The sequence below is a fragment of the Homo sapiens genome, chromosome 16 (genome assembly GCF_000001405.40).
Source record: "Homo sapiens chromosome 16, GRCh38.p14 Primary Assembly".
Taxonomy (NCBI): domain Eukaryota; kingdom Metazoa; phylum Chordata; class Mammalia; order Primates; family Hominidae; genus Homo; species Homo sapiens.
The window spans coordinates 10,296,148-10,303,940 of record NC_000016.10 but is presented as its reverse complement, the minus strand read 5'-3'; the positions used below and the strand labels follow the sequence as shown (position 1 = coordinate 10,303,940).

Below are 7,793 nucleotides of genomic sequence, written 5' to 3'. Positions count from 1 at the left end.
GGAGAGAAGGAAAGAAAGAAAGAGGGAAGAGAGAGAGATGTGGAGGTCAAGTGGAAGCCAGAGAGGATGGAAATGGAACTATGTTGGCCAGGCGCAGTGGCTCACGCCTGTAATCCTAGCACTTTGGAAGGCCATGGTGGGCAGATCACCTGAGGTCAGGAGTTCAAGACCAGCCTGGCCAACATCGTGAAACCCCGTCTCTACTAAAAATACAAAAATTAGCTGGGTGTGGTGGCACATGCCCATAGTTCCAGCTACTTGGGAGGCTGAGATAGGAAAATAGCTTGAACCCAGGAGAAGGAGTTTGCAGTGGGCCGAGATCGCGTCATTGCACTCCAGCCTGGGTGACAGAGGAGACTCCATCTCAAAAAAAAAAAAAAAAAAAAAAGAAATGGGACTATGTTGAAATGAGGGACTGAAGAGAGATAGAAAGAGAAGGATACACTAGGGGCCAAAATATCCTCCAGGTCACAATGTTGGATTCAAACCTGTTCCCAGGTAGGATGTCTGGGATTTTAATGCTAACAGTCAGGATTCTCATTTCCTATCTCAGATATCTTCTTCTCCCTATATATATCAATTTTACTCTATTTGCATACAGATTAGCCATCTCTGGGAAGCTGGGATGTGCCCTCCACCCAACCACCAGTAACTTCCAGGCGCTACGTTTCATAGGCTACCATGTATAGCCATGCAAGTTACTCAGTGCACAACTCAACTTGCATACATTTACACAGTGATTCTTACTGTTCTTTCCCCCCGGTTCCAAATCATAAAGTTTTTTTTTGTTTTTTTTTTTTGAGATGGAGTTTTGCTCTTGTTGTCCAGGCTGCAGTGCAATGGTAAGATCTTGGCTCAGTGCAACCTCTGCCTCCCGGGTTCAAGTGATTCTCCTGCCTCAGCCTCCCAAGTAGCTGGGATTACAGGCATGTGCTACCACACACAGCTAATTTTGTATTTTTAGTACAGAAGTGGTTTCTCCATGTTGGTCAGGCTGGTCTCGAACTCCTGACCTCAGGTATCTGCCTGCCTTGGCCTCCCAAAGTGCTGGGATTACAGGTATGAGCCACCACGCCCAACCCCAAATCATAAAGTTCTAAGGAAGGACTCTGATTGGTTTAGCAAGGGCCACATGTCCATCTTTTGACCAATCTCTGTGGCCAAACAGTATGATATTATGGTTGGCTCATCTTGTATGAAGATGATAAATTCATATGGAAGGAAGTGGTGGTTCTAATTCTCTCAAGAAGAGAAAGAACAAGGAATAATAATACTTTGTTTTTGGGCTAAGCACAGTAGCTCATGCCTGTTATCTCAGTGCTTTGGGAGGCCATGGTGGGCGGATTGCTTGAGCCTGGGTGGTCAAGGCTGCAGTGAGCTATGATTGCACCACTGTACTCCAGCCTCCAGGGTGACAGAGCGAGACCCTGACTCTTAAAATAAACAAATAAATAAATAAAATGAATGAATGAATGAATTAATCAATTAAAAGAGAAGAATAATTTCTTCCTGTTAAATAGGCCTCCATAATAATCATTTATAAGGGAGAGCTGCAATGGCCCGATCTCCTCTCACTACAACCTCCGCCTCCCAGGTCCAGGTGATTCTCCTGCCTCAGCCTCCAGAGTAGTTGGGATTACAGGCATGCACCACCACGCCTGGCTAATTTTGGTATTTTTAGTAGAGCCGGGGTTTCACCATGTTAGTCAGGCTAGTCTCGAACCGCACTGGGCCCCAAATTGTTTCTTGGGCAAAATCAAAGACTTCTCTCGGGGTCTGGATTGGGACCTCTTTCTGGCAACAATCTTGCGAAGAAATGTTGGTTGTCCCGGTTACACTATAAGATTGGTTTTATTTTTATTCCCATTTCATGGATGAGACAAGTAAGGCTCCAAGCGGTTAAGAGACAGGCTCCTTGGCCTTCCTGGTTCTCCCAGTAGTTGGGAAAAGCTGCGGTGAGAGGGAAAAAGAACAAAAAAAAACTAAATTAAATTAAAAAATTTTTTTAAAGTGACATGCTCCTGATCACAGAGCTAAGAAGTGTTTAGACCCAGTGCTCAAAACCAGGCTTACCGCTGGGCAAGTGACTCACACCTGTAGTCCCAGCTATTCGGGAGGCTGAGGCAGGAGAATTGCATGAAACCGGTGGAGGTTGCAGTGAGCTGAGATTGCGCCACTGCACTCCAGCCTGGGTGACACAGCAAGACTCCATCTCAAAAAAAAAAAAAAAAAAAAAATGGCTGGGCGTGGTGGCTCACACTGTGATCCCAGCACTTTGGGAGGCCAAGGCAGGTGGATCACTTGAGTTCAGGAGTTCGAGACCAGCCTGGCTAACATGGTGAAACCTCATATCTACTAAATACAAAAATTAGCTGGGTGTGGTGGTATGTGCCTGTAATCCCAGTTACTTGAGAGGCTGAGGCAGGAGCATATCTCGAACCTGGGAGGCAGAGGTTGCAGTGAGCTGAGATCGCACCACTGTACTCCAGCCTAGGTGACAGAGCGAGACTCTGTCTCAAATTTTAAAAAATAAAATAATAAAATAAAGGGGCTCACATTCCTCATAAAGGCAGGCATTCACCTGTGCATAGCACAGACCCCAAATAGCAGTGGCTTACAAGAGCAAAGATGCAAGTATATTTCTCTCTCCTAAAGAAGTCCAACTACTTTTCAAAGTCCTACTTTGCAAATCTGTCAGGAGCCTAAGATCCTTTCATCTCATTGTGTCTTCATCTCTAAGGTGCTGGGCTGGTTCTCATGGTCCAAGGTCCACATTCCAACCTTTACACAGGGGAAAAAGACACAAGGAAGGAACACACCATACTGTAAGGCATCACTGAACTGGGAAGTTGTCCATGGCTCTTCTCATAGCCCATTGGACAAAATGTGGTCACCCAGACACACCTTATTACAAAGGAGGGTGGGTAATGTAGTTTTCATTCTGGGAAGTCGTCTATAATAAGAAACCGGTTGGTTTCTGATTTTCGAAAAGAACAGCTGGTGCATGGCTCACACCTGTAATCCCAGCACTTTGGGAGGCCGAGGTGGGCAGATCACTTGAGGTCAGGAGTTTGAGACCAGCCTAGCCTACATGGCGAAACCCCATCTCTACTAAAAATACAAAAATTAGCCAGGTGTGGTGGTGTGTGCCTGTAATCCCAGCTACTCGAGAGGCTGAGGCGGGAGAACTGCATGAACCTGGGAGGCGGAGGTTGCAGGGATCTGAGATTGCACTACTGCACTCTAGCCTGGGTAACATAGTCAGACTGTCTCAAAAAAAAAAAAAAAAAAAAAAAAGACTAGCTTTTAGAGAATGGCAAGCAGTTTGCGCTATGGTTAGGTAACCAAGTATTTCACAGTTTCCAGACCCGATGATTTTATTGATTATGCAGAAGCTTCTGTAAAATAATTTTTGTTTTTTTGTTTATTTTTTTGAGACAGAGTCTCGCTCTATAGCCCAGGCTAGTGTGCAGTGGCGCCATTTCGGCTCGCTGCAACGTCCGCCTCCTGGATGCGAGTGATTCTCATGCCTCAGTCTCCAGAGTAGCTGGGACTAAAGGCGTGCACCACGATGCCCGGCTAATTTTTGTATTTTTTTAGTAGAGATGAGGTTTTGCCATGTTTGCCAGGCTGGTCTCGAGCTTCCGGCCTCTAGTAATCAGCCCACTTGGGCCTCCCAAAGTGCTGGGATTACAGGAGTCAGCAGGCGTGCCCAGCTTTGTATTTCTTTTATAATAATGAGAACTAGTTAATAAAAATAAGTGAGCTTCTGGCCTTGATACAAAAGCATACAATTACAGTTGGAGAGATATTTAGAAGAAATTCAGCACAATCCAAGCCAAGATATATCATCAAATAGAAAAAAGAAAAAAAAGCAGTTGAAGATTCATTTGACTACTATGATACTGTTTGGGTTTTAAAATTATGTATAGGATATAAATATACCTATGTAGGTGTGCATATAGAAAGATAGAGCTACGTAAAAAGAGAAACAAATTAGAGAAGCACACATCAAATTGTAAATTGCAGTTATCTCTTGAATTTAGAAATGCGGAGGAGTTGCACTTTCTATTTTATTTATTTCTGTAATGATTTTATTATGATATTGACTCATATTTTAATAAGCAGAAAAAACAATGTAGATAAAAATGGAAAGATTCCAAGTAGTGTTTTAATTCCTTCTGTAACAGCTCTAGCACCCAGACTCTGAATAAATAATTTTTCTTTCTTTCTTTATTTTTTTTTTGAGATGGAGTTTTGCTCTTGTTGCCCAGGCTGGAGTGCAATGGTACGATCTCGGCTTACTGCAACCTCTGCCTCCCAGGTATAAGCGATTCTTCTGCCTCAGCCTCCAGAATAGCTGGGATTACAGGTGCCTGCCACCATACCCAGCTAACTTTTTTTGTATTTTTAGTAGAGATGGGGTTTCATCATGATGGCCAGGCTGTTCTTGAACTCCTGACCTCAGGTGATCTGCCTGCCTCGGCCTCCCAAAGTGCTGGGATTACAGGCGTGAGCCACTGCGCCTGGCCAATAATTTCAATAGAGAATTCATTCATTTCATACATGCTGGAGAAGCATGTACGAAAATACAGCCATTGTGCTGGGCCCTGGAGATACGAAGATGCAATACATCCAAAAAGGTCTTCATATTGGAGCCCCAAGTAGTGAAACTAGGGAAAGGAGGAAGAAGGAGATAGGCCAGGAGGAAGAGAATGAAGAAGAGAGTACTGTTACCAGCGCTCTCTCCTATCACTTTCATGGTTATAGCCCCAGCACTTTGTTTTGTTTTGTTTTTGAGATAGGGTCTTTCTCTGTCACCCAGGCTGGAGTGCACTGGTGCGATCTCAGCTCACTGCAGCCTCGACCTCCCAGTCTCAGGTGATCCTCCCACCCCAGCCTCTCAAGTAGCTGGGACCACAGGTGTGTGCCACCACTCCTGGCTAACTTTTTTTGTTTGCTGGTTTATTTTTTTGTAGAGACAGAGTTTCGCCATGTTGCCCAGACTGGTTGTGAACTCTTGGTCTCAAGCAATTGGCCATGCCTCAGCTTTCCAAAATGCTGGGATTATAGGCATGAACCACTGTGCCAGGTCTTGCCACAGCATTTTGGCTAGTGGCTGGCACATAGATGCTCAGTAAACTTGTTCAACAAATGAGTAACAGAGAAGGAAGAAATAGTGAATAATCTGATATGTCAGACGGAATGGTCATTCCACCAGCAATGTAAGGAAGAAACAGAGACAGGTTAGAGGAAGGCAGTGGCAATGTCAAGTAGAATTGTGGGGACGGAGGGCATGCAGAACTCAACCTCTGGGAGGAGAAATAGAAAAGAGAAGCTATAACTTCTCATTCTTAGGCTGCCCTTTCTTTTGTGACAGCCTCTATCTTGCACCTGCCACTCATTGGTACTTTGCTACATAAAGAAAGGTTTTATGCTGTTCTAGTGATTAGAAAGTTCATGATAATTATAATAATTTCCTTTGGTTCTCTTGAAATTAGTCTAGATATGAGATTTCATTTGGTGTACCTTTTATTCAACTATACCGAGCTGGCTTTGATGATGCAAAACACAAAATAGTTAATTATCAATTATAACAGGACATTTACATAATTACCAAGCAGACCCAAATTGAGTTCATCCTTTTAGAATGAACTTCAAAAGCTGGCTTTGAGTTTCCTCATGATTTTCTTTACTTCCCCAGTTTCCTCACAATAAAATTGTGTTACCCTTATAATGGCATTTTGAAAAAAATAGACCGAAAAAATAAATCAATGATATATTTAACTTTTTCTGTTCTAATCACTCTAAGAGTTTTGGGACAATTGAGTATCACCAATTGAAGAAAAAAAAAAAGAAAAAAGAAAAAACAAAAAAAAGAATTTCCCCTGTTACCACAAAAGAAAAGAGACCATATCCTCCTCCTCTTAGAGTATTCCTGAGAGAAACCTAGTGGTCGTAAATTCTTACTTTAATCTTTTGGTGTGTCTATAAATCTCTTCAGAGGCAAGTAAGCCTCTTGCCAGATTTACAACCCAGAAACATTTTTTTCAAAGGTCTTGGATTTATCCCCTTTGAAATGCAAATGTCTGAGGCAACTATATCTTGGTCACCCAGTCACTGTGGGCGCCTTTCTCTGAACTAGCGGAGGTGGTCATGAGAAAGGAGACCACTCCTCATGTTGTCTTATACTTAATTTCTTGTTTGCTGAAAAGGTAGAAGTTAAAAGAATAAGCAGAAGTGAAATTCATAGTCAGACAGCCCAGCGTCACATTTCGGGCCTGGTAGTTAAAATTCAACCCCTGACCTCACTGCTTGAGTTATCTATAGATTCTAGACACTGTATGAGGAAGCGTTGTGAAACTCCCTGTTCTGTTCTGTTTCGTTGTGATTACTGGTGCATGCAGCCGTCAGTCACCTACCCCTCGCTTGCCCAATCGGTCACGACCCCCTCTTCATGCAGTCCCTTTAGAGGTGTGAGCCCTTAAAAGGGACAGGAATTACTTATTCAGGGAGCTCAGTTTCTAGGACTTGAGTCTGCCGATGCTCCCAGAAGAATAAAGCTCTTTCCTTCCACAATCCGGTGTCTGAGAGGTTGTGTCTATGACTCCTCCTGCTACAGTTAAAGAAATTTTACTAACTTTCCAGTCCACTTCAAGCCCAATTTTTTCACCATTGTTGGGAGTCAGAAACCGATACCCCAAAATAGGGCACTCTGATGGGCCGAACTGAGGAAGACCTAAGGTCTCTCTGACCTCACCCACCTACTTCTCATCGCTCAGTCCTCCGTGTCTCCCAAAACACAGGATGAAGTTGTTCTCTGAAGTTCCCTTATCTACCTAAAGCCCGGACCTGAAAAAGAAGAAAACAATGACCCCGGTCCCTGAGTTTTCATTAGCTGAACTCACATCGCAGGAAGACTGACTGAAGTCTGCCAACACACCTGAACAGACTTGTCACAAATCATTTTCTGCTCTGCAGACCCAACAGACTTTGTTCTGAGCCACTGTGTGTTCTCTAAGCCCATTGAATTCCCCTAAAAATCCTTTGTGGCTGGGAGCTGTGGCTCACGCCTGTAATCCCAGCACTTTGGGAGGCCGAGGCGGGTGGATCACCTGAGGTCAGGAGTTGGAGACCAGCCTGCCCAACACGGCATAACCCCGTCTCTACTAAAAATACAAAAATTAGCTGGGCATGGTGGTGGGCACCTGTAATCTCAGCTATTCGGGAGGCTGAGGCAGGAGAATTGCTTGAACCCAGGAGGCGGAGGTTGTAGTAGGTGGAGATTGCGCCAGTGCACTCCAGCCTGGGCGACAAGAGCAAAACTCTGTCTCAAAATAATAATGATAATAAAAATAAAAATCCTTTGCTATTCTCCTAAAATCATTCACACTTTTCCATGATCCTCTCCCCTAAGAAGTCGGATATAGAAGAATCTGTATCCCTTTGGGATATTAGGCCATCACTCTGCGATCCTCCCCAGCACATGCTAATAAACGTGTATGCCTTTTCTTCTATCATTTACATTTTGTCAGTTGATTTTCAGGGAACTTTCAGAGGGCGAAGGTTTTATTCGAATGGATAATATCCCTTAACTCGTACATGATCTATTGGAATAAAAAAACTTTAGCCCCTAAACATAATGTCAAACTCCCACATAGTCAGTGCCAGCTGGATAGGAATGAGATTCTCTACTTTGCTTCTAGAGGTTGAATTTTTTTTTTTTTTTTTTTTTGGAGACAGAGTCTCACTCTGTTGCCTGGGCTGGAGTGCAGTGGCATGATCTTAGCTCA

The 7,793-nt window shown here is 43.7% G+C and overlaps 2 annotated features.

Annotated features, from left to right (window-relative positions):
• Positions 2,722 to 2,922: a silencer, noted in NCBI's record as "peak2497 fragment used in MPRA reporter construct". NCBI's record gives its function as "represses an SCP1 promoter by STARR-seq MPRAs in K562 erythroleukemia cells {active_cell/tissue: K562}" and the evidence as "EXISTENCE:reporter gene assay evidence [ECO:0000049][PMID:32103011]".
• Positions 6,104 to 6,153: an enhancer, noted in NCBI's record as "active region_10378". NCBI's record gives its function as "activates an Ori minimal core promoter by ATAC-STARR-seq in GM12878 lymphoblastoid cells {active_cell/tissue: GM12878}" and the evidence as "EXISTENCE:reporter gene assay evidence [ECO:0000049][PMID:35858748]".